Source organism: Homo sapiens, chromosome 13 (assembly GCF_000001405.40).
Source record: "Homo sapiens chromosome 13, GRCh38.p14 Primary Assembly".
Lineage (NCBI taxonomy): Eukaryota > Metazoa > Chordata > Mammalia > Primates > Hominidae > Homo > Homo sapiens.
The window spans coordinates 24,432,024-24,458,975 of NC_000013.11; the positions used below are offsets into that span (position 1 = coordinate 24,432,024).

Below are 26,952 nucleotides of genomic sequence, written 5' to 3' on the forward strand. Positions count from 1 at the left end.
GCCGAGATTTTTTTAAATGGTACTTTTTTCCTTCTAGCAATGCTTTATTTCATTTTTTATTGATACATAATACTTGTATGTATTTTGACATACGCATGATATTTTGATACATGCATAGAATGTAAATAATCAGGTCGGGGTGTTTAGGATCTCCATCAGCTTGAACATTTATCATGTCTTTGTGTCGGCAACATTTCAAATATTTTCTTCTAGCTATTTTGACATATACAATGTATTGTTAACGATAGTCACCCTACTGGGTTGTCAACTAGCAATGAGCATTGAACCGGTATTTCTCAAGCTTTTAAAGTATATGTCATGCATGATTCCCTCTTTAAAAAAAACCCACTTTATTGAAATATGATTGACATACAAAAAGTCACCAACATTTAACGTATACAACTTGATGTGTTTGGAGTTAAATATACACCTGTGAAACCATCAAACCATCACTTATCAATGCCATGAACTTAGCCACCACTCCCAGAACTTTCCTTCCACCCCTTTTGCTTTGTTTTGTTCCCTTTTGTGGAAAGAGTACTTAACATAAGATAGACCTCTTAGCAAATGCTTCAGTATACCACATCGGATTGTCAATCATAGGCCCTGTATTGTACAGTAGATCTCCAGCATGATTCCTTTGGTTTAACATAAAAATGTACCCTGATGTAGTCTGAAACATGAAAATGACAGTTTTTTCTAAGCATAAAATTGTTATATTAAACATGCACTTTAAAACTACCTTCCCTGCATCCCCCATCATCTGCCTGCCCCATCACATGCACAGGAGAATGTGCTAAGCCTGAGCTTGGGGATATTAACCTCAACGGAGACAGAATCAAGACCCTAGGGAAACCAACACAGGGAGTAGAAAGCAGGGTGTGGTCCTAGGCAGGTGCACAGGTTGAAGAATCTATGGCAATACCTTGAAAAATGACCGCAGTGATAATATGTACCAACCCATAGAGAAGTGGTACCAGGTGCTGTTCTTTGATATGTTTAGCCACTTCCTGTGGAGTACTATTGTTGGGAAAAAGCTGAGTGTTGGGAGGGAAACTGAGGCAGGGCTTGCGTAACGTCCTCTGGAATGTGTCTAGACTTGCTGGCTCCTTGCTTCTAGCCTTCCTAGGCTCCTGTTCCCATTATCTCAAGTAGCAGAATATGTTCCATATAAATGCTAAACCATCGCAGCTGTAAATCATGTACTTAATGCAACGTGTCCTTTTGACCTCCACATTCTCACCATCTGTTTCTTTGTTGGATTATCAATAAATACCGTGGGCTCCCAGAGCTCGGGGCCTTCGCAGCCTCCACCATAGTGATGGCATACTGGTGTCCCACCTTTCTCTCTCAAACTGTCTTTTTCTCAATCCTTTGACTCCACTGGACTTTGTCACCCCCATGACCTGGTGTTGGGTCTGATCACCCCAACAACTATTATCACACCCACACTGGAGATGAGAACATGGAGGCACAGAAAGGTAAAGCAATTTGTCTAAAGTCTCACAGCTAACAAGCAGCAGAGCCAGGAGTGGCCGTGGGATCCACACTCTTGACCATCTGCAGTATGCTCCTGGCAGGCTTTTGGGTGCACTGTCTCAAGTAGGGAAACTGGGCAGCTGTGATTATCCTGTTTAAATCTCAAACCCACTCTGTGAAGTAGACACTATCATTATCTCCACTATATGGATGAGGAAGCTGAGGCTCAGACAGGTTACCTGACTTGCCCCAAATCACAAAGTGGGCTGGGACTCAGGCTTACTTTTATACTACATCAAGCCCTTTCCGTTTCACTAAACTACTTGACACCAAAACAAGTAATCACAGATGCAGGACTGGGTCTTAGTACCAGCGATGGGGCCAAATCTACAGGGTGTTTATCAGCTTAACAAATGGAGTGATAAGCTCTAACACAATATACATGTTGAATAATATCTGTATTCCCATGACCTATGTGAAAATATTTAGAGTACAGGTACAAGTGCTTGTGCTCTACTTCACAGTGGGAAATTTATGTGGATTACAATCCATTAGTTCTAGAATCTAGGAAATTAAGATCTCACCCCATCATCTGTTCAGAGATGTTCATTTTCATGTGAGGAATAGTAACATTCACCAGCATGAGGTTCTGGTCTAATGTTTGTAGAGAAACACCAGCCAGCATCAAGCACACTGTTTTGTTCAGCTGTCTGTTTTGTTTTGTAGCAAGAGTTCCTCAATGAAGGAAGCAGTATGATTTATACCCAGTGTACAACCCCTTCCTTCACTACAGACTGATGATAGACGGTTCCTTGACCAGCTGCTTTGAGGAGCCCCGTTCTAAACTATGAAGCCAGCCAACCACAGATTTAAGGAGAAATAAGACACATACCTCTGTCTGTAGACTGAGGAGTTCTGTCCAAGGCACAGCATCCTGCCAGTGTTGTATGCACACTATTTCATCCTCTTCTTTTACTTCCAGAAAGCACAGGATACTGTCATCTTTTGTATCACATTTTATTTGTAAAAAGCAGCTGTCTTGAAGTACTTCTGATAGCTCATCACTTTCTGTGTCAGAACTTTGAAAAGCAAAGACAGGACATCGACTTCCTTCGAGACTGCCTACTGATTCTTCTAGAAGACAGAGATCTACTGGGGTAGTCCGGGACTGACTGCAAAGAGCCTCAGGTAAAGCAGAGGCCATTGGCAGCCTAAGGTTGGCAGTCAAAGAGGCTGCGGAAGGTTGAAAATGAAAAGGAGAGGAAGCAGAGGGATGATAAGACCCAAAACCTCTGATGGGATCAGGGTCTGTAGGAAGAGAGAAATGAAGCTGGGGAGAATCCAGCTCAGGGAAGGTGCCAGCAGAAGGCCTGGTAGTAAAGCCTCCAGGATGTTGCAGTGGAGCAGACTGTGCAGAGCTTAATGAGCTCCCTGAAAAAACAATGCCACAATAGGGTGAAGAAGGTGGGTTCTGGGGAGGTCCTGTGGGACAAGACGCCGACTGTGGGATCCAGTCAGCACAAGTGCCAGGCACAGGGCCTTGGCTGAATTGAGATGCATCAAACTGTCTGGGAGGAGCAGCTGAACCGAAACTAGCTACCTGACGATATGAGGCAAAAGACAAGGAAGCAGGACTGTGAGCGCGGGCAGTCGGGGGAAGATAGGAACCAACGGCCGGAGCCAAAATAGGAAAAAAGCTAGAAGTAGATGTTTCCCATGGACTGACTTTCTTAAATAGTGGTTCAGTTGCTGTTGGTTTACATGACTCTGTCCAACTTAAATCCAATAGCTTTTCCACACCTCCACGTTCCAAATTTGATGTGAAAGCTGGTAGTACACCTAAGCCATCCTCTTCAAAATCTTCAGAAACTTCTGGCTGAGATAATTCCATTTTTCTTTTGGAAAATGGAATTTTCCTATGTTTTCGTTTGGATAAACGTAATTCTGGCCACTCAGAGGATGCTAAAAGAGACTGCCCAGAAGACAGAATTATTAACGTAAGGGGAAAACACAGAATAAAAAGAACAATCAAGCAAACATTCTTCCTAGCACTTGACTTCCCACCCATCAGGCAGTTGCTCATCCAGAATCAGGATCATCAATGTGAGCTGGGATGTTGAAAATAACACCAGTGCTGCGTGCAGCAGCTCACGCGTGTCATCTCAGCACTTTGGGAGGCCGAGGAGGAAGGATCGCTCAAGGCTAGGAGTTTGAGAACAGCTTAGGTGACACAGCGAGGCTCCATCTTTACAAAAAATAAAAAATTAGACAGGTGTAGTGGCTCATGACTGTAGTCCCAGCCACCTGGGAGGCTGAGGCAGGAGGAGTGCTTGAGCCTGAGAGGCTGAGGCAGCTATGAGAACAGATTTGCACTACTGCTCTCCAGCCTGTGTGAGAGGGCAATATTCTGTCTCAAAAAAAAAAAAAAAAAAAAGAAAGAAAGAAAATAATGCCACCAGAGACATTCAAGATCATTTCAGTACAAGGCTGTCTATTTCTAGACATGGAAGCTGAGACCTGGAGAGAATATCAGCAATCAATATATTGAAAGACCTTCTCTCTTAGTTCTTAGTTCTTAGAATTGCGGAATTTTAAACACCCCTCATTTTACACATGAGGGAACTGAGGAGCACAGAAGTGACTTGCCCAAGATTTTACAATGAGCAGTATCACAGGGTGTACTTAGGCCTAAAATAAGACAGTCATTTGAAGTCAATTATTGCAGTTTTTATACTGCTTTACAGCAATATTAAGAAAATGAGATCAAAATGGAAAAACAGTCTCAAAAGCTTTATTTATTTTTACTTACTCATTTTTTGAGACAGGGTCTTGCTCTGTTGCCTGGGGCTGGAGTGCAATGGCACAATCACAACTCACTATAGCCTTGAACTCCTGGGCTCAAGTGATCCTCTCGCCTCAGACTCCCCAGTAGCTGGGACTATGAGCATGTGACACCATACCCAGCTAATTTTTAAATTATTCTTTTGTAGAGATGTGGTCTCATTATGTTGACCAGACTGGTTTTGAACTCCTGGGCTCAAGTGATCCTCTCAGCTTGGCCCCTCAAAGTGCTAGGATTACAGGTGTGAGACACTGTGTCCAGCCAAAAGCTTTCAAGTAATTAAATGAACATATAATTATACTAGAACATGAACAATATGTATGTAAAACAAATTTTGAGGGATGCTATATTACTACTATTGTTTCAATCTAAATGTAAAGAGTGTTCCTTAAAAAGTTGCATGTATAAAATCCAGTTTTATATGCATGTCAAGTCCTTGATATTTTTGAAATAATTAGCCTGTAATTTTACCTGTGAATATGAATGATTTAAAAAAGGAGTAGTCCTTTCCCAACTCAGTCAAATTTCAAGTTTATACCTGAATAATTAATATTATAGAACATATGAAAAGACATATTTTAAAATAATGCTAACCAGAGGTTAAATTTTTAAAAATTAGAGAAGCAAACTGGAAAAAACCAATCAATAGTGATGGACTAGAACTATCAGATATTAAAGTCTCTTATAAAATTATAATAATTATAGTAGACGAATCAATGGAACAGAGTAGGTAAGTCCAGCAATAGCTCCTAAATCTGAGAATTACTAGATTATGAAGGTGGCATTTCAAGTCAATAAGAGGAAAAGGAGGAGCCATCTGGAAAAGAATAAAGTTGGTTCCATATCTCTTATCCTATGCTAGGATAAATTTCAATCAGATGAAAAATTGAATGTAAACATGAAAACATAAAACTATTTTAAAAATAAAGGGAAAAATTTTAAAAGTATAATCTCTGACTAGGAAAGGTATTTCTAAGCATGATGAAAAGCAAAACAACACTAAACAAAAAGAAGAAACACAAAGATTAAAAATTTGACTGCATTAAAAAATCTGCATGACCAAAAGATAATAAGCAACATCAAAATAACATGTGGAATACCGGGAAACAAATTTTCACAACTCATATCACAAAGGGCTAATTTCCCTAACATAAAAAGTTTACCTAAGATAAATAAAAAAATGACTAAAATCTCAATTAAAAAAATAAAAGATGTGAACAGATAACACCCAGGAAGTGATACATAGGGCTGTAAGAATATAAAACATGCTCCTCTTCATTCATAAAGAAACAAAAACTTAAATGTCACCAATACATTTTTCACCTGTAAGATATGCAAAGATCAAAAAATTGATTAAGTCAGGTATTGTGGAGCATCCCAGCTACTCAGGAGGCTGAGGTGAGAGGATCGCTGGAGGCCAGGAGTTCAAAGCTGTAGTGCTCTGTGATAGAGCCTGTGAATAGTCACTGCACCCCAGCCTGGGTGACAGAGTGAGACTCCATCTCAAAAAAAAAAAAGAATCATACTGAGAAATACGGGTCATTTTTGTTTATTTTATAAAACTCCTTCTTGAATAGTATTTTTGTATTTTTTAGTAGAGACAGGGTTTCACCATGTTGGCCAGGCTGGTCTTGAACTCCTGATCTCAGGTGATCCACCCACCTTGGCCTCCCAAAGTGTGGGGATTACAGGTATGAGCCACCGTGCCTGGCCTCATTATGATTCTTCTATTTGTCAAAATCACTCACTTGCTTCCTCTTTCCCTTCAAGTTCACAATTGCTTATTTTGCTTAACCACATACTCACATCTTGATCACCTAAGGTGTGGTCCCCAACCTTTATGGCAGTGGGGACTGGTTTCATGGAAGGCAATTTTTCCATGGACAGGGGTGGGGCAGATGGTTTTGGGATGAAAGTATTCCACATGTTCCATATGCACAGTTCACAACAGGTTCGGGGCTCCCATGAGAATCTACTGCCGCTGCTGACGTGACAGGAGGCGAGCTCAGGCGGTAATGCTCCCTCACTGCCCCTCACCTCCTGCTGTGCAGCCTGGTTCCTAACAGGCCAGGGACTGGGGGTTGGGGACCCCTGATTTAAGGAACAGCGTGGGCTCTGGACCCTCAGCTTCAGTGCCCTCAATTTCTTGCTAAGAGTTATAGCACTGAATTTTACAAATGATTTACTTTAAAAACTTGGATTAGGAGGTATGTTTTAAAAATCTCTGCCTCTCGCTTGTTCTCAATGTGCTTTCATGAGCGGGAGGGAACGAAGTGGATTTGGGGTTGGTGCAGAAGACACTGCGCCTAAGCCCAGGCGTGGCTGTGGGAGGACAAGAGCACACAGCACTGAGCGCTGTCCTTCCTGAGCACGTCCCAGCAGAAAAGGTGTTGCGCTCCCTGGAGGGTCTCATTTCACAATGAAGATGTATCAAATAAGGAAATGCCCCAAGCTTCAGCGAGTCGGGAAGGACCAAACAGACCTGGATGTCCGGGCTCTATTGCGGCTGGCGTGTTACTGAATTCAGTGGAATGACTCCGTGTAGAATGCGGCAGGTGCCACATTTTGGTAAAACAGATATCGAGGAAGAGTAACAGAGGCTTGACATTTTTGCTAAATTACATGGTCCGTTCAAACAACTTATTGCAGCTAACATAAACTTTCAAGTCATCAAGCTAATGGATAATATTTTTCATCTGATATGTTTGGATCTGGAAGTATTAAGATCCAACGTATTTGCAAATTTAGTATGAAATAATTTATCATCACACTGTATTAAAACCTAAATTAATTTAGAACCAATTTTGAAAATAATTTCAAAAATTTCTATAAACAGGCCAGGCATGGTGGCTCGCTCCTGTAATCCCAGCTACTTGGGAGTCTGAGGTAGGAGGATCTCTAGAGCCCAGGAGGTCGAGGCTGCGGTGAACTATGATGGTGCCACTGCACTCCAGCCTGGGCAACAGAGTAAGACCCTGTCTCAAAAAAAAAAAAAAAATCTAAAAACAACACATGTGCACTATGAGAAAATTAGAAAATACAAGTAGACACAAGTAGACAGACACAAAGAAGAAAATAAAAGCCATACAGAATGTCTTATCTGATCTATGGCCTATATCCCTCCAGACCTTTTCTGTGAACAAAACACTTAACATATGTAGCAGAGTGTAGGGGCGTATCTCTTATTTTTGTTAATTTAATTTTTATTGTGGGAAAAATGTATATAACAATGTTTGCTATGTTAGTCATTTTTAGAGTTTAGTGGCACGAGGTACATTCACACTGTTGTGCAACCATGACCATCTCCATTTTCAGAGCTGCTTCTGGGTGTGCCCTTTTGAAGCACATATAAGATAAGTATATATTTTCCAGGGCCCATTTTAACAGTAAGTCTCAAGGACAAACAGTTGATTCTTAATTGTACATCAGAATTTTTTTTTCCCCAAAACAATGCACTCCAAGGGCCCCTGTGCAGTCAGAGAGAGGCCACAGGTCACAGCCCCTCAGCTTAGCCCCTCGCTTTCCTTCAAGCAGCCCTGAGTCCCATTCTTTGGCTGACCTGGAAGTCCGGACCAGTGTGGGAGCCCACGATGTTGCCAACATCTGCCCTGCCTGTGGGTGAGCCTACGGGGCCACCTGAGCCTGGCTGAATGCACCTCCTACTACTCCTGACTCCCCAAACTCTTTGTGTTTGCTTAAAGTATTATTTTTCTTTCATGGGCAATCCATGCCCATGGTTCAAAATTCAAAATATACAAAAGGGTGCACTGTAAGAAAGCAAGGCTGGGGACAGTGGCCCATGCCTGAAATCCCAGCACTTTGGGAGGCCGAGGCGGGTGAATCAGGAGTTCGAGACTAGCCTGGCCAACATGGTGAAACCCCATCTCTACTAAAAATACAAAAATTAGCTGAGTGTGGTGGCGCGTACCTGTAATCTCAGCAACTCAGGAGACTGAGGAACGAGAATTGCTTGAACCCAGGAGGTAGAGGTTGCAGTGAATTGAGATCATGCCACTGCACTCAACCCTGGGCGACAGAGCGAGACTCTATCTCAAAAAAAAAAAAAATTAAAATTAAAAAAAAAAAAAAAAAAAGAAATCAAGTATCCCTCCAAACCCAAGGCCACTTTTCAGCTTTCTGCCCCATCTGTTTGGGCAACAGTGCCCGTTTCAGACACCTTTGAGAATTAATAACTACAGCTAATATTTATCAAATATCCAGGAGCTAGACGTGTTGGAATGGTCTTAGAACTCTTCACAACCACCTGAGGTGGATTTTACTGCTCTCCCCACTAGGGCATTAGGACTGGGGCACTGGGAAGGTCAAGTCCCAGAGAGTGAAGCGCGGGCTGGGGTTCAGACCTGAGCATTCGGCCACAGCACCTGTGATCTTAACCACTGTGTTTACTGACTTTCAATCATCTACCTTTTGTGATCTTTGCCAACCTGACAGAGTTAAAAAATAAAAAGGAATCTCATGGCAGTTTACATTTTAACTTCTTTTAGAAACAAGGTTGCACATCTTTCGTATATTATTTTCTTATTTATGATCAAATCCTCACTCTGTCACTAAGGCTGGAGTGTAGGGGTGCCATTTTGGCTCACTGCAACCTCTGCTTCCTAGGTGCAAGCATCCTCCTGCCACAGCCTCTTGAGTAGCTGGGACTACAGGCAAGCACCACCACGCCCAGCTAATTTTTGTATTTTTTTGTAGCGACAGGGTTTCACCATGTTGCCCAGGCTGGTCTTGAACTTGTGGGCTCAAGTCGTCTGCTGCCTCAGCCTCCCATAGTGCTGGAATTACAAGTATGAGCCACTGTGCCCGCCCTAAAAGACTTTTTGTAGAGATGAGGTCTCGCTTTGTTGCCCAGGCTGGTCTCAAACTCCTGGCTGAAGTGATTTTTCCCACCTCAGCTTCCCAAAGTGCTGGGATTACAGGCGTGAACCACGGTGCCGGATCAGATTTTAAATTTTTAAATTCTGGAAATTTTAGTTTTTTAACCTAGAGACCTAAGAGGGTTGTCAGCACTGTGTTGTTCCTTTGTTTTTGAATTTTTCTTCCAATTTTTATTTAAGCCACATTTTTCCATTTCTATTATGTTTCTGGTTATAAGGGCCACGGTATAAAGCACTATAAACTTTAAGAAATATTGGTGGTGAATTTAGATTATTAGATAGCACTTCTATTGATAATTTCATGACAAACCTATTATACTACCTAAATGACTTTAGCTTCCTGGATGACAATCTATTTGCCCATGATAGAAGCACAGCCAGAGGTGTTCTCTTTTTGTACTATACAGCTCCATTCACACATTGTGAAGTCTCTGTAATGCAACATGATGTAATTCAACATTTTATAAATGCATGAATATTTTCCATCATCAGGGATACAACTTCTTCATGTACAGGTAAGAAGGGAGCTATTTTAGCAAAGGGTTCCCTTCATCTTCATGAAAAAACGAAAGCTCAATATCAACTTATTCGGTAATCAGCATTTACCTGGTTCCTGACGGCTTCTTGGGGCTCCCCCTGCCAGCTCATGTAGGGCAGGAAGTCTACATCTTCTTTGGCAATAAGTTCAGAAACTTTTGGAATATCAGGAAAAGGCGACTCATTCTCATCCTATATTGAATCACAAATAGATTAAATCAAACAGATGTTATCCAATTAAATGATGACTACACATTCTAAAGCCTATGGGGTGTTGGTTTGGGATATGCTGGTGTGTGGGACTGGAGCTTGTGCCGTGGGCCACAAGCGTGAGGGGAAGTGGGGAGGTGGAGTGGCTTTCCTCTTTACGGAGCACTGGCAGGTGCTGGCCACTGTGCTGGGCACGTTACGTGAATTTCCCCCTTAAACTTATGAAGGGGAAGGGCTCTCAGGGAACCCAGGCCTTTTCGGCCTTTTCTATTTTTTGAGGGTCTTGGATTAATAAAAGACAATAAACGCCAAAACTGTAACAAAATTATAGTATAACCGAAAAGTACACATTAGCCAATTGTTAATAATAACATTAAAAATGATAACATACTCAACTCATTTAGAAAGATCACCCTAAGTCCCAACACCGAAGCCCCCCATGAATGGGAGGCTGGGACTCGTGGGGCCTGCTGACCTGTCTGCAACCCACACTTCCCAGGCCCAGGGTGTGGATGTCGTCATTAACCATCAAAGCAAGGGTGACTTTCTTAATGTGGAAATACAAATAAAATAATTTAACCTCGAATTACCAATAATACATACCCTTTTCTCAACTGCCACAAAGCTTGTAAATTGTGTTATGAGAGAGTTTTCTTTACTGAGTTTAATAATCAGAGATTTCAAGGTTTGTTTTTTCATCTAGGATAGAATAAAACATAAATCATGTCCTGTTTTATTTCTATTTCGCTATGTCAGTAAATCATTTTAAGATTCGTATTTCAGACTAAATATTGAATTGCAGGTCCCATCTAAATCGGTGGCTCAATATTCCCTTTAAAATGAGATGAACTGACTTAGTCATAGAAAGTGTCGCTCTTCATTATTCAGCTCCCTCTAGTTCAGAGAGCTCTCCCGGGCAGTGGGCTTTCTCATTCTTTCACAGTCTGTGGCTCCCAATTTAAAGCTGAGGAATTGGAAAGATGGAATGACTTGTTCAGGATAAAAGGGCCTTAAACAAAACAGCACACAGAGGCTGCCAACCCAGCAGCATCTGAGGAGAATAGGGAGACCACCAGGTGACCATCTGTCACTAGAACTGACTGTGAGGGTCTCCAGGGCCTGCTGTCACCTTCTTGTGGGGATGGCATTGAGGACTAACGTTCACAGCCTTGTTGAAGATCTCATCCCTCAGAGAACAGCTGGGCAGTCCCGGTGGCCTGGCTGAGGAGCCCCTCTGCTGAGGCCCTGGTCTGCACAGCATGGGGGGAGTCAGGTGGGCTTTGGCAGGTCACTCAGCATTTCGCTCTCAGGCCTCTCATCAGTAAGATGGGAATACTAACGCTACCACACGAGAGATCTGAGGTGACGTCCACTACAGGCACTCAGCGAGTGTTCTCTGAGCCCTCCTCTGGCTTCTTCTGATAAGTAAAACATTACAGAATTTTCTGGAAACCACTGACATCCATCCTTTTGTTAATTCATTCAACAAACATTTACCACACACCCCACATCCCAGGCACAGTGTCACAGATACAGTGATGAATGCCCTGACACCAGTCTCCTTCTCCACGCAGCTGACCTCACTTTCCATTTCCACAGATAAAATCAATGTAAGAATGCTCAAGAAGAATGTCTAATCATTTTTACAATGAAAAGAACAAACCTCATGACTGGTTTCATTTTCGTGAAGAATGCCATCTTCATAATCTCTGATTAGAGCTCGGGCTGCCAGCTTGTGGATCATCTGTGTTTAAGCAGCAAAGGAAAAAAAATATTCACATGGCTTCTAATATAAGACTTGCAAAGAACATCATTTTAAAAATGGAGGTATAATCTGCATACAGTAAAATGCACTCCTCTTAAATACACAGTTTGATGAGTCTTAAGGGATGTATACAGTTGTGTGACCACTGTTGAAGTGAAGACACAGAACATTCTCTTTTCCCTGAAAAGTTCCTGTGTGCCCGTGTAGCTTCCTCAAGCCCTGGCAGCTCCTCATCTGCTTTCTGTCCCTAGAGTTTTGCTTTTTCTATAAAAGGCCATTTTGCTAATTCATTTTATTTAAAAAATTGAAAACTTCTTTTCTACCATGGGAAGAGCCACCTTGGCCCTGGGATGCCCGTCCGTGAACATGGTCTGCACTCTGAAGGGTGAAGACTGCACAATGTGCACCACCAGGTGCTTCCTCTCCAACAACTGAGAGATGGAACTTCCCTTCATTCCAACTCTTGTAATTTGTCATTGATAAGGCTGCTTCTCACAGAGGAAGTACAACTTGCTGTGACTTTATGGAAAACGACCTCTTCCCAGGTAAAATTATTTTACCTTCTTTCCCCCTTAGATCTAATTTTTAAAAATATACTTTTAATTTATTCTCCCTTATCAGTACCCACAAAGATCTAATTTTTAAAGCAATATTGAGCTTAAGTTCTATACATAAGTCACTGGCAACTAGTAAGTCAATGATACCGATTTAGTGCTGAAAAGTAAGCTGTGCACTTTTGAGAAAAAAACCCAGCAATGTCTGGGAAATGATTTATCTGGTTATACTGATACTCCTTTGAATAAAAAAACTACATAAATAGCATATATAGGCTAGGAACTTTCAAGGCTAAACTACAGTGGATTCAGTACCAGTGCAAATATTACAAACTTCTTGGTAATAATTTGTGATATTGTGATATGCAAAAAGCTAAAATAGGCCACCCCAAAAGAGACTTCTTTGGCATATTTTGAGATGCTATTCAGAGGGACAGCAGACATAGGAGTAGCTCTGAAAAGCAGTCCTTTTGCAGGGAATATTTGCATCTGCAGAGGAATCGTATGTCAGTGAAGGAAACAGCAGATGCAAACAGGCTTTCTCTGAGACCCCCTTATCTGCCTTATCCAGATTTAGGAAAGATGAACTCCCAGGAAGAGGAGGCTAAAGTCTGATACTTTAAAGGGATGATAGAGAAACCGTTACCAGAGGTGCTTCTATTCTCTCAGGGCTGCTGCCTGCCAGACTTCATCTGCATCACAAGAAAGCCTTTGCTCACCACGTGTTTCTTCCCCTCACCCTCCCACAACCTGTCCCCACCTCCCCCAGGAGCCCCACAATCCTACCCGCCTCTGTACGGTATGAAACTTCACTCATCTGGCCCTTCTTTGAGTCTCACGTGGCTCGTGCACACGTAACGACATCTGCATGTCTCTTCCCCTGTTAATCTATCGTTGGATTATTTTATAGACCAAACATGGAAACTTCAGAGGGAAAGTCTGAACTTCCCTACAGACATAAGAAATGTATGTATTTGTTATTCCTAACAGGACCCTTCAACCACACCTGAGTTTATGTTAATGAGGTGACTTTTAGAAAGTCCCTAGAATGAGGGCTGGTTGCTGGGGAACCAACCATATGATTAGAGGGCTGGGACTTCAACCCCACTCCCCAACCTCCAGAGAGGGGAGAGTTAATCACCAATGGCCAATGATTTAATCAACCAGGCCTTTGTAATGAAACCTGCATTAAAAACCCCACCTAAAGGGGTTCAGGGAGCTTCTGGGTCAGCACTCATGTGCCAGGAGGATGGTGCACCCCAACTGTATGTTAGACAGAAGCTCCTGTGCTTGGGACTATTCTGGGCCTTACCCTGTATACCTCTTCATCTGGCTGTTCATTCGTATCCTTTATAATATTCTTTACAATAAATCAGTAATACTAAGGTAAACTTTTCCTGAGTTCTGTGAGCTGTTACAGCAAATTACTGTAAGAAATTTGAGAAATTTCTGTGAGAAAGGGTTGTGGGAACACTGACTTGGAGCTGACCAGAAGTGTGGGTAACCTGGGGACCTGCTACTTGCTACCGGTGTCTGGAGTTGGAATCAGTCTTGTGGGACTGAGCCCTCAACTCTGTGAGGTCTGTGCCAACCCCAGGCGGCCAGTGTCAGAATTGAATTAAATTGTAGGACATGCAACTGGTGTCAGAGAATTGGTTGGGAAAAACACATATCTGGAAACCAGAAATGGTGTATTTGGGAAACAGGAATTTTTTCTTTCATAATTCATTTGCTTTTAATCAAAAAAGGAAATAAACCCACATCCTCAATATACGATATGATCTACTCTTAGTCCAGTATTATTATAACTAGTATTTCTAAATAGCATCAGTAGGCCAGTGGCATGTACCTTTATTGAGTTATGAACATCTTTGAGAACCTCTCTAGCAAAATTTCCATGCATAAATGCCATACTTAATTGCAGTTATTGCCACCCACTGATGCCCATATAGACATACCTAGACCAAACTACCCCAGATGAAGAAGTGCTGCATTAGAAACTGAAGGAAAGTATACTCATTTGTACATATAGTCCATCTCCATATTGTGTAATGAAATTTCAACACAGGAAAACAACAAAGTACAGACAGCAGGGGTATCCAATCTTTTGGCTTCCCTGGGCCACAGTGGAAGAGGAAGAACTGTCTTGTGTGACACATAAAATACACTAACACTAACGATAGCCGATGAGCTGAAAACAAAAACTTGAAAAAAAATTTCATAATGTTTTAAGAAAGTTTACGAATTTGTATTGGGCTGCATTCAAAGCTGCCCTGGGCCGTGGGTTGGACAAGCTTGACATAGAGCATTATATATGGAAATATAAAATCATAACTTTCAAACAATGGGTTGATAGTTTAGGTTTTGAATCTTACAGTTCCAGTTGTCTTCTGAAGCTCAGTAGTCGACACCATTGTACGAAATTCTTTCTCTTGAATTAGTGCACACAGAGTTGCCTGAAATGGGGAAAAAAATAAATTCCTCATTAGCCTTTCCACTCTGCAGTGTCTTGGTTTAACAGAAATTCTTTTGGTGATTTTCTCTCCCCTTTCAATAAAAACTAGAAGCCTCCCCAAAGCCCTGGCTAACCACCAGCTGTGTTCCCAGAAGAAGAAAATCTGCTGGTGAGAAGGGGAGGGAAGAAGACAGAAAAAAAATTAGCAAAATATATTGGTCTTCCCATAGAATAACAAACTCTGCGTCTTCTTACCTGTGTGCAGTGAGGAATGAATCCATAGACAAGGAGTCGATCATTGAGAAACAAGGACGGCACCTGGGCTGGGGCCTGCAGGGCCTCGGGCACATCTGGATTGAGTTGCTGCCATTTGACGGAGACAGAGTGGCAACTCGGAGAACATAGCCTGGTCATTTGGTCTTCTATCTATTTATAAAAGAGGAATTATTTCTCTTTCAATGCTCCATCCAGAAAATAGTTACTTCACATTTAAAATAAAGTATACATTCTATCCTTTGGGAATTTTATAACTCTGGTATTTTCTCTCCTTCCTGCTACAGGGTACTTTCCCGAAAATAGTTTAAACAGAATTTTATTTTATTTTATTTATTTTATTTTGAGATGGAGTTTTGCTCTGTCGCCCAGGCGGGAGTGCAGTGGCACAATCTTGGCTGACTGCAACCTCCCCCTCCCAGGTTCAAGTGATTTTCCTGCCTCAGCCTCCCAAGTAGCTGGGACTACAGGCGTACACCACCACACCCAGCTAATTTTTGTATTTTTAGTAGAGATGGGGTTTCACCATGTTGCCCAGGCTGGTCTCGAACTCCTGACCTCAGGTGAGCCATCTGCCTCAGCCTCCCAAAGTGCTGGGGTTATAGGCATGAGCCACCACGCCCAGCTAGAATTTTAAATAATAGCATGATCATATCCTTTTCATTTACAAAGCATCCTGAAATTATGCCTTTAGCTAATTACTAATATGCAGCCTTGGTATGAGTAGATTCCAGTACTTGAATAGATATTTCTCCAAAGAAGATACACAAAAGCCAGCAAGTGCATGCAAAGATGCTTGATGTCATTAGTCATTAGGGAAGTGCAAATCAGAACCACGGTGAGATCCCATTTCACACCCAGTGGGATGGCTGTTATTAAAAAACAAGTGGTGGCTGGGCAGAGTGGCTCATGCCTGTAATCCCAGCACTTTGGGAGGCCAAGGCAGGCAGATTGCTTGAGCTTGGGATTCGAGACCAGCCTAGGCCCATGGCGAAACACTGTCTCTACAGAAAATTAGCTGGGTGTGGTGGTGTGGGTGTGGTGGTGTGGGCCTGTTGTCCCACCTACTTGGGGGATGAGGGAGGAAGATGGCTTGAGACCAGGATGTCAGGGCTGCAGTGAGCCAAGCTTGCACCACTGAATTCCAGCCTGGGTGAAAAAGTGATACTCTGTCTCAAAAAACACCAACGACAAACAAAAACCAACCAAACAAACAAAAAACAATAAGAAAAAAAGTGGTGGCATATGCCTGTAGTCCCAGCTACTCTGGAGGCTGAGGTGGGAGGATTGCTTGGGCTCAGAAAGTTGAGGCTGTGGTGAGCTATGATTGTACCACTGTACTCCAGCCTAGATGACCGAGCAACACTGTGTCTCAAAAACCAAAACAAACCAAAGAAAAGCTGATTGATTTCAATCAATAAGGAAAAAAAAAAGAATGATGAGTGTTGGTGAGGATGTGGAAAAACTGGAATCCTGGTGCACTGGTGGTGGGAATGTAAAATGATGCAGCTGCTATGGAAGACAGCATGGCAATTCCCAAAAAAACTAAACATAAAATGAGCATATGATCCAGCAATCCCACGCTGCACATATATCCAGAATTGAAAGCAGACTCAAACAGACACTTGTATACCAATGCTCATAGCAGCATTATTCACAATAGCCAAAGGACAGAAACAACCCAAGTGTCCACCGATAGATGAATGGATAAGCAAAACGTGGTCCATCCATGCAATGGAATATTATTTAGCTTTAAAAAGAAGGGAAATTCTGACACATGCTTCAACATAGATGGACATTAAAAACATCATGCTAAGTGAAATAAGCCAGACATAAAGGGACAATGTCCTATGACTCCACTTATATGAGATACTCAGAAAAGGCAAAGTCATAAAGACAGAAAGTAGAGTCATGGTTAGCAGGCGCTGGGTGTAGGAGGGAATGTGGAGTTACTGCTTAATGAGTACGTAGTTTCTGTTTGGGCTGATGAAACAGTTTGAAGATGGTGATGGTTGCACAGCATTGTGAATGTAGCTAATACCACTAAATTGTACACCTAAAAATGGTTAAAATGGCCAGGCGCGGTGGCTCACGCCTGTAATCCCAGCACTTTGGGAGGCCAAGGTGGGCAGATCATGAGGTCAGGAGATCAAGACCATCCTGGCTAACACAGTGAAACCCCATCTCTACTAAAAATACAAACAATTAGCCAGGCATGGTGGCTGGTGCCTGTAGTACCAGCTAGTTGGGAGGCTGAGGCAGAAGAATGGCGTGAACCCGGGAGGCAGAGCTTGCAGTGAGCCGAGATGGCGCCACTGCACTCCAGCCTGGGCGACAGAGCAAGACTCTGTCTCAAAAAAAAAAAAAAAAAAAAAATTAAAATGCTAAATTTTATCATAATAAGGAAACAATTTCAGCAAAACATATTTAATAATTCACTTTAAAAAAAATCAGTCCATGATTTTTAAGGCAGAAATCAAACCATAAGCTGGGAGAATGACCTGATGAAGAACACCTGTGTTCCCGCTGGTGCAGTCCTGAGGCAGGGCTCACACCTGCGGCAGTGCTTGCCTCTTTACGGCTCCCCTCTCATTCAAGGAAACACAGATATTCCTATTTCTTAGTCTCGGAAGAATAAGAGATTTCCAAACATAAATATAAAACCAGATGTTTAAAAAACATACCTGTTTTCTCCAACTATGCTTGGATTTTGCATTAAAATATTCAAATACTCCGGCACCACACTGGGACAAAATCCTTAAGACGTGACGATTTGCTGTAGAACTGATCACATTTCACATGTTTTAATTTTGAAGACATTAGAAATATTTTTGAAGTACATGTTAACAGTGTTGAGAAAGCTCACAACTCAATAGGAGAGACATGACGTGGGGAAGAATGTACTCGTGTGTCGCTGAGGTTAAACAGAGAAAGTGATAATAGAAGGAAACATCTGAAAGTTTGGCTAATTTAAGCTCCCATCTATCAGAGGACTGACTTATCCTTCAAATAGAAAAAAGTTGAAATTCTTGACTTTCAGTTCCTGAGGGAGGGAGTAGATGACTCTAAAAACAACCCTATAAGGTATCAGAATGCTGACAAAGATATCAACTTAATTTCCATAAATAACAATATTACCTGAATCTGATCCCAAAGGCCTAGAGCTGGCAAAGAGTGAATAAAGTCTACCTCTTGAAATCTGATACACATCAACATAGCAAAAGGCATAAAGAAGCAACTCTCACTCTAGCAAAGAGCATCTCTGACATTTAAATGACAAGTGCCCTATTACTTTTCTCTCTACAATAATTCTACAACTATCAAGAACTCCTTGCTTAGAGGAATTCCTCCTGAAATATTAAAGAAAACATCAATTATTTTTCAGAAAAAGAGCTTATGAAAATAATTTCCAAGATGTTTTTCAACCTATGGATAAAGATGGATTTGTCTTTACCCTCCATATTAATTGGTGATGATCATAACATTGACTAGAAGATCCCTAACATGGGTTATTGGTAGTTACAGCTTCTGTCTGTTAGCGAGGCAGGCTGGAGTCTTCCTGTGCTCCTTCAGGGCGGCTCTCAGAGGACCAGGACTCACGCCAAGGAGGAGGGCTGATGGTCTCTACCCCTGGGAAGCTCACTTTACTAGAGTTTGTAATTGCAAACACATGCTTGGAAGATGAGGGAGAAACACTTAGAAAGATCCCAAAAACTCGACAGAAAAGCAGAATGGATACCACCCCCTCCAGGCATGGGCGGTGCTAACTGGCAGAGTCTCCTCTTGGAGCAGGCTCCCCCACTGCACACCCAGACTCCCCGTCACATGCCTTACATTTTTCAATTTTTTTTTTATTTTTAAAGATGGGGTCTTGCTCAGTCACTCAAGCTGGAGTGCAACTGCCTGACCATGGCTCACTACAGCCTTGACCTCCTGGGCTGGAGCGATCCTCCTGCTTTGGCCTCCCAAAGTGCTGGGACCACAGGAGTGAGCCTCTGAGCCTGACCTCATCACACTCCCTTGATTTCCTCCCTGGCACATGGGAAAATCCCATCTCCCAGCCCCAGAGTCGGGGCCCGATGTTCGTCCCAGAATAGGCCCTCACTGAGGAAGGCATGAATAGGTGCCAGTACCTCTGCCCTGTGGTGTCTGAGCCCTGACCTGGGAGCAGGGGGCAGGGAGGGGCTGCTGAGACCAGGAGACGGTGCACAGGCTGCCCTGAGCGCAGCTGTGAGCTCAGCAGGTGAAGTCCCATCAGGAACAACTCCTGGTGGAGCTGCTCAGGCTGGATATATTTCTTCATTGGCCTGTGATGCTGGGCTAGGCCTTAGATTACAGAGAACAGAGCCAGGAGCTGTGACAGTGGAGGACAAAGAGAAGAAAGCCCTCAAGGCAGGCAGAGCTGGCTTGAGTATAGCAGCTAGGGGTGTCGGAGGCCACAGAGGGACACTGGGGGCCATGGAGGGGCATCGGGGCCACAGAGGGGCATTGGGGGTGCTGGCTCCTGGAGCTCAGGGCGAGTCCAGGTCAAGGCTCAGGGGCAAGGACAGCAAAGAGGCCCCCATTCTGCCCCATGAAGAAGCTGAGGATCTGCTCCATGCACTGCCACCAGATAGCTGGTGACCACTTGCTGAGGTGGTGGCCACAGGTAGGAGTCCAGGGGCCACAGAGGCAGGCAGGATGGGCAAGTCCTATGCAGACACCAAGTGGCCCCCTCTGTTCGATGTTTTCCTTACACATACACCGCATACCTTAGTGCCATCCAAAAGAACTAACTTTTAATGGGGAAGGGGCAATTCCAACAATGTAGGGGTGTTAGCCTCTCATGGAAAGCTTCTATGCACACCACAGGGTTTGAAAATGCAAGTGCTCATAATGGCCAGAAAAGAGATGCGAAGGAGCAAAGCAGCCTGGCGGGGTCTGCCTGGAGGTCACATGCCCCCAGCACGAGTCCAGCACAGCCAGTGAGGAGGTTTACCCAGGCCCTTCGGGACAAGCGGAGATTTGGATTCTTATGCTAAATAATAACATCTAACTGATTTGGTGCTTTTGGTTCAGTTCTGTTCTGAGTGCTTTCTATGTATGAGCTCATTTATTCCTCAGCAATCCTAGGAGGTAGGTATTTTCATTATCACCTTGGTTTTACAGATGAGAGGTTAAGGAACTTGCTCAAGGTCACGGCTAAGCTAATGAGTGGCCAACCCAGGTTCTGAGACTCAGGCAGTCTGGCTGGGAGCCCGGAGCCCCATCCCTCTATGCTGTAAGGCTTCTGTATTCTAGTGTCAACTTCCAAGCTTGCCAAAGTCCCCTGCAGGGCAACAAGACGACCTCCCCGTGGGTCTGGACTATGTGACCAGCTCTCTGAGACTCACCCGATACCGCAGGCGAATAACCTGGTGTGCGGGCGGCTCCTCTTCACGAGCTGTAATGTCAGGCTCTCATCCTGGAGGTGCCCATCAGACACCAGGAGGATGTTCCGTGACCCTCGAGCAGGGTACAATAAGCTAAGATATCGGAGTGTTTTCCAGAAGTCTGTGTTCCCCATGGTAGGTGTGGCAGACTGGAGGAAATGAAGTGAAAGATTATGTTCTCCTTGTTGGATGCAGTCACCATTTGCTGTCATCATTGACACATCTAAGGACAGTGTAGGGATATGGTGACACCGAAAATATTTTCTTTCCCTAATTTGTGAAACAACTAAACTTATGTCCTTTTAGTTTATTTCATGTCACACAGTAACTATAATATTATCACCTCACGCTTATTTGATTTTTTACAGTTTCCAGAGGACTATGACATCTACAGGAAGAAATGTCCCATCCAATCAGCCCTGGATTTGCCAGCCTGGCTGAGGCAGCTGGTCAGTCTCAGCTTGCTCAATTTTATTATTATTTCATTTTATTTATTTTTTTTTTCTTTGAGATGGAGTCTCGCTCCATTGCCCAGGCTGGAGTGCAGTGGCACAATCTCGGCTCACTGCAACTTCTACCTCCTGGGTTCAAGCGATTCTCCTGCCTCAGCCTTCCAAGTGGCTGGGATTACAGGTGTCCGTCACTACGCCTGGCTAATTTTTTGTATTTTAAGTAGAGATGGGGTTTCACCATGTTGGCCAGGTTGGTCTCGAATTCCTGACCTCAGGTGATCCACCCGCCCTGGCCTCCCAAAGTGCTGAGATTACAGGTGTGAGACACCACACCCAGCATTTCTTTTTTCTTTCTTTCTTTTTTTTTTTTAAACCTCAACCCTTTTAGATAAAGCTGGCTGCATTTTAAGAGAAAAAAAACAAAGGACAGAAGAAAACTTCTCAAAGCTGTTAATGCTAGTTGCATTAGGGTGTTGGGACATGGGTGATTTTTTTTTTCTATTCTTTTTAATTTCCAATTTTTCCTTAATGAGTTATCATTTTAATTAATGAAATAAAGAGCCCACCAATATACAAAAACCACAGGAGTAGGGGTGCTCTGATGGTGGCTTGAGTGGCCTAAGCCCTGGAGGTCCCCTTAAAGCATGGTAGGAAAAGACCCAGGAGATACAGGAAGCCTCTTGCACTCACCATGATGAACTCTGCTGCCATGGTATTGCTTGTGATATGCTTAGGATACGAAAATAGCTCCTTGTAACCTGTGTAATAAGATCAGCATGAGGTGCTGCTTCCACACGTTCACTTGCTTGAGCACTAACAAACAATAATGTTATTTCATACCATCACGGCTGTTGTAAAGGATATTATATATTTATGTGTGTACCTTTCTTTTTAGAAAACTGTTTGATAATTTTAACATACAAAAGATTGTCCACAGGCCAGGCACGGTGGCTCATGCCTGTAATCCCAGCACTTTGGGAGGCCGAGGTGGGTGTATCACCTGAGGTCAGGAGTTCAAGACCAGCTCTGGTCAACAGGGTGAAACCCTGTCTCTGCTAAAAATACAAAAATTAGCTGGGTGTGGTGGTGAGCACTGTAATCTCAGCCACTGGGGAGGCTAAGGCCGGGAGGCAGAGGTTGCAGTGAGCTGAGATCGCACCACCGCACTCCAGCCTGGGCAACAAAGCGAGACTCTGTCTCAAAAAAAAAAAAAAAAAATTCACCACACTATTTTTCTAAATGATACATCATAGAGCATTCAAACCGTGGTGCTTTACTATGCAAAATGTTGAGTCAAATTCCATGTGCACATGCAGATCACTTGTGCAAATGTGCAGGGCATTGCAATGGCCTGAGCAGCTTGGCCCCTGGAAGGCCAGTCTCTGCTCACGCCCTTTGCACTCCCCATGCTTATCCGACCTCTGTCCCAGCAACAGCAGACTGTACCTCTGGGGAAAAGGGGCTGGGTCTTCTGCTGGATTGCACAGAGGATGAGAATCAATAGGATAAGACTGTCCCCTCACTCCACTCCACGCACCTCTCATCCCTGAGGTGCTGCCTTCTGGTGGCTGAGACGTCCCTGGGCCCCATCTGGAGGGTGGTACTACCTCCCTTCTAGCAGTGCTGGCCCGATACTTCCTGAGACCATTCCTTATAGATTTTCTATGACTGCGCTGAGGGCAAATGTTTTGTCCTTAGACTTGGGACCTCCTACTCAACAGACCAAGGGTTTTGTATTTGGTTCAGTTGCTAATGACAACAGTAGCATTTATATCTCACTTACTGTGAACAGGCACAGTTTAAAAATCCTTTACATACATTAGCTCAATCCTCCTCACAGCAACACTGTGAGTTAGGGACAATTATCCTCAGATCGCAGATGAGGAAACGGAGGCACCAGAAGTTCAAGTAGTGCGCCCAAGGTGACACACAGAACCTGTGAGTGGTACAGCTGGAACCGGGACCTAGGGGGTCCAGCTCCAGAGCTCTTGTTCTTCAATTTCATACTAGGCTGCCCCTCACCACACAGGCAGGGTCGGGTACCCACAGTTGTCAGCTCTACAGAATGTGATTCACATGTAGGGGAAGCACACGCAGGACCAGGGCCAAAGCGCACTCACCTGTGCCGAACTGGATAATATTTACTTTCTGCTTCTCACCCACCAAGGACAGCGCATGCAAGGCGATTTGCTTGGCTTGCAAGAATGTCACACCCTCCATGGAACTGGAGCAGTCAAGACAAATAATCACTTCGCTCTCACTGGCTAGGTCAGGGAGGTCGACATCGAGATCGGGTTGAAAGACAAGCATGCAAGCCTGAAAGGAGAAAGAAGGTGCTGGACTGGAGCTTCTTGTCACTTCAACTGCAAAAGGTCTACTTAGAAAACTCCAAAACTTTCTAGTGAGGTAAACTAATGCTATAAAAACAGAAAGAATAAGATGTAATTAACAACAAGATGGCCTACTAGGAGTTCCAGTCAAAAGTAGAATGTTAGAACTGGGAGTTTCCAACTTCTGACATAAACTTCTGAGAGGTCAAGAATTAGTATCTGAAAAATCATATAGCATCAACATTATGGAACAAATATATATATATATATATATATATATCACACTATTCTAAGAGGAATATACATGCCATTGTGATTACTAAAATACACACACATACCTTTTGTTCTATTAATTAACCAATATTTAACTACTATCATGTAAGTTTCCTTTTTTTTTTTTTTTTTTTTTGAGACAGGGTCTCCCTCTGTTGTCCAGGCTGGTATGCAGTGGCACGATCACAGCTCAGTTCAACCTCAACCTCCTGGACTCAAGTGATCGCCCTGTCTTAGCCTCCTGAGAAGCTGAAACCACAGGTGTGCATGACCACACCTGGCTAATTTTTTTTCTTAATTTTTTACAGAGACGAGGTCTCACTATGTTTCCCAGGCTGGTTTCAAACTCCTGAGCTCAAGCAATCCATCTGCCTTGGCCTCTCAAAGTGCTGGGATTACAGGTGTGAGCCACCACACCCAGCCTAAGTTTCTATTTTTATTTTAACTTAAGAAGAGACTCTTTGTCACAGCCACACAAAATGATCTTATTACCAACCACAAATAACTGCTTATTTGTTTTTCCAGTATCAGTATTTTAAAACTATAACAAGTTATAGAGAATACCCAATGTAATGTCTGATGGCACATGTTCTTTTGGTGGAGCTTAAGGTAAAAATGCGAATTTGTACAGGCAAATCATCCACATAAGGGTTTTGGATGAAACGTCAGAAGTTTGGCATGCTTGATATCATAAATATTTTTAGTTGCAGAATCTTGAGATGTGAGAGTTCATTTTGTAATGCTAGTTTTTCAGGACAATCAATAATTTGCAAGTTTAACCAGCTTATTCTGAAACATTTTTTCAATAGTGTCTCCTATGTCTAAGTAAAAAGGAGTATACCTCGCTTTCTTTTTCTGGATGTTTTTCAACCCACATTCTTGGGAGATAGGCAGCAGACAAACCGATGTGGAGAGAAAATCCACTGCTGTCTAAGGAGCTGCCTTCCATGGTGCTAATGACAGCTTTGCAGTCTGTGCGCTGCAAAACAAACACCGCGACAACAAGGTGAGTAATGGAGTAACACCATATTAGCAGTCTGCACTTACCTGTCATGGAGCAAACCCTTGCATAGCTTACATAACTCTATTAAGAATCAACAAAGTAGTGGTAAATTCCAAAATAATGAAATGTAGGCCGGGTGCAGTGGCTCACACCTGTAATCTCAGCACTTTGAGACGCCGAGGTGGGTGGAGTTTGAGGCCAGCCTGGCCAACATGGTGAAACCCTGTCTCTACTAAAAATACAAAAAATTAGCTGGGCGTAATGGTGGGCACCTGTACTCCCAGCTAGTCAGGAGGCTGAGGCAGGAGAATCGCTTGAACCCAGGAGGTAAAGGTTGCAGTGAGCCAAGATCGCGCCACTGCACTCCAGCCTGGGTAACAACAGGGAAACTCTGTCTCAAAACAAAAACAAAACAAAACAAAACAAAAAAAACAAAATAACAAAATGTAGGTTTTAGAAGACCATGAGCATATCAGTCACCCTTCTGCAATCCTAAGGTTGATTCACACGGTCAAATAAGTGTGAGACAGTCTCAAACCCTGGATCCAAAGATTATAGATCTACCCATTCAGTTAGACTTATCTGGGTATAGCAGACGGCACATCAGATAATTAAAACCGAGAAGACTAAAATAGAAAATTCAACAGAAATCTTAGAATCATAACTTATTTGTATATTATATTTTCATGAATATAAAAAAGCTGTTGAAAATGTAAATAAGCTTTACAACAACAAAGGCAAAGGCATGTGCTAGAGTGTCACATGACCACAAAGTCTCTCCACTCCTGTCTGCGTGCCCCTTTGCAATGTGACTTTTGAAGTTCCTCCTGCCACGAGGCAGCAGCTATATTTCCACCCTTGAAACTGGAGTTGGCCAAAGGACTTGCTGTGGCCAATGATATGTTGGCAGATGAGATACAAGCAGGGGCGTGAAAAGTGTCCATGCAACGGGCCTGGCACTCTCTTGTTGCTACTGAGGACTCCTCCACCACTATGTAGTGGCTCACGCCTGTAATCCCAACACTTTGGGAGGCCAAGGCAGGCAGATCACCTGAGGTCAGGAGTTTGAGACCAGCCTGGCCAACATGGGAAACCCCGTCTCTACTAAAAATAGAAAATTTAGCTGGGCGTGGTGGCAGGCACCTGTAGTTCCAGCTACTCAGGAGGCTGAGGCATGAGAATCGTTTGAACCCAGGAGGTGGAGTTTGCAGTGGGCCATGATCCCACCACTGCACTCCAACCTGGGAAACAGAGTAAGACTCTGTCTCAAAAAAAAAAAAAAAAAAAAAAAAAAGAAAAAAGAAAAAAAGAAAGGCACTGCAGAAAGGCACAAGAGAGGAACTTTTTTTTAATACAATAAAATTTCTCAGAACTAAAGACCACCAGTTACATACAATGAATGAAAATCATACTGTTATGAAATTTCAGAATACCAGAGATAAAGAGAAGGTCTGAAGTTCCTGCAGAATTCTAAAAAGGAAAATAGGCTGGGTGTGGTAGCTCACACCTGTCATTCTAGCACTTCGGGAAGCCAGAGCAAAAAGGATCCCTTGAACCCAAGAGTTTGAGAAAAGCCTGGGCAACATGGTGAGACCCTGTCTCTACAATTTTTTTTTTTTTTTTTTGAGATGGAGTCTCGCTCTGACGCCCAGGCTGGAGTGCAGTGGCGCAATCTCAGCTCACTGCAAGCTCCGCCTCCTGGGTTCACGCCATTCTCCTGCCTCAGCCTCCCGAGTAGCTGGGACCACAGGTGCCCACCACCACACCCGGCTAATTTTTTGTATTTTTAGTGGAGACGAGGTTTCACCATGTTAGCCAGGATGGTCTCGATCTCCTGACCTCGTGATCCACCCACCTCAGCCTCCCAAAGTGCTGGGATTACAGGCATGAGCCACCGCACTCAGCCAAGTTTTTTTTTTTTTTAATTAGCCAGGTGTGCTGGCACAGGCCTGTAGCCCTAGCTACTCAGGAGCCTGAAGCAGGAGGGTTGTTTGATCCAAGGAGGTCAAGGATGAAGTGAGCCATGACTGCACCACTGTACTCTAGTCTGGGTGACAGAGCAAGACCCTGTCTCAAAAAATAAAACAAAACAAACAAAAAAAACTCATCATAATATTATACATTTCTTGGCTCAGTGGTAAACATCATTTACATGATAATCACTGACTATTGTGAAACAGGTCTTTTGGAATGAAGGGGAGAGGAAAAGTAGTGAGTTAGGTGGGTGGAGGGGGCAAGAGCTACACGTCCAACTTCCAAAACAGGAAGTCAAAAGATAATTTCTGAAACAGGCGAAATCAAGAAAAAGCATTAAAAATTAATATTTAAAAATTGGAGGCAAAATCAAAGAAACAGCTCAAATAGTCCAAATGATTCACTGTCTCTGGAAACTGGTCTGGGGAGAATCAGGGGCAGGAGTAGTGCTTCTTGTTAGAAGTTTTGTCAGCATTATTTCACTTTTCAACCACGTGCA

The 26,952-nt window shown here is 43.2% G+C and overlaps 1 protein-coding gene across 1 annotated transcript in view, besides 1 other annotated feature; it reads right to left on the reverse strand.

Moving 5' to 3' along the window:
• PARP4 (poly(ADP-ribose) polymerase family member 4) overlaps positions 1-26,952 on the reverse strand; it is a 91,848-nt gene that overhangs the window by 11,093 nt on the left and 53,803 nt on the right. The window contains exons 21-31 of the mRNA NM_006437.4: positions 24,318-24,455; positions 22,994-23,189; positions 21,564-21,631; positions 20,383-20,570; positions 17,695-17,794; positions 14,993-15,163; positions 14,658-14,738; positions 11,627-11,707; positions 10,567-10,662; positions 9,823-9,945; positions 2,372-3,451 (exon numbers count right to left, since the gene is read on the reverse strand). Of these exons, the coding sequence (NP_006428.2) occupies positions 2,372-3,451; positions 9,823-9,945; positions 10,567-10,662; positions 11,627-11,707; positions 14,658-14,738; positions 14,993-15,163; positions 17,695-17,794; positions 20,383-20,570; positions 21,564-21,631; positions 22,994-23,189; positions 24,318-24,455 (2,322 nt within the window). The remainder of the gene's footprint in view (positions 1-2,371; positions 3,452-9,822; positions 9,946-10,566; positions 10,663-11,626; positions 11,708-14,657; positions 14,739-14,992; positions 15,164-17,694; positions 17,795-20,382; positions 20,571-21,563; positions 21,632-22,993; positions 23,190-24,317; positions 24,456-26,952) is intronic.
• Positions 12,719-13,220: an enhancer, noted in NCBI's record as "OCT4 hESC enhancer chr13:25018880-25019381 (GRCh37/hg19 assembly coordinates)". NCBI's record gives its function as "activates a minimal SCP1, AML or CMV promoter by ChIP-STARR-seq in primed H9 embryonic stem cells {active_cell/tissue: H9 hESC(primed)}" and the evidence as "EXISTENCE:reporter gene assay evidence [ECO:0000049][PMID:30033119]".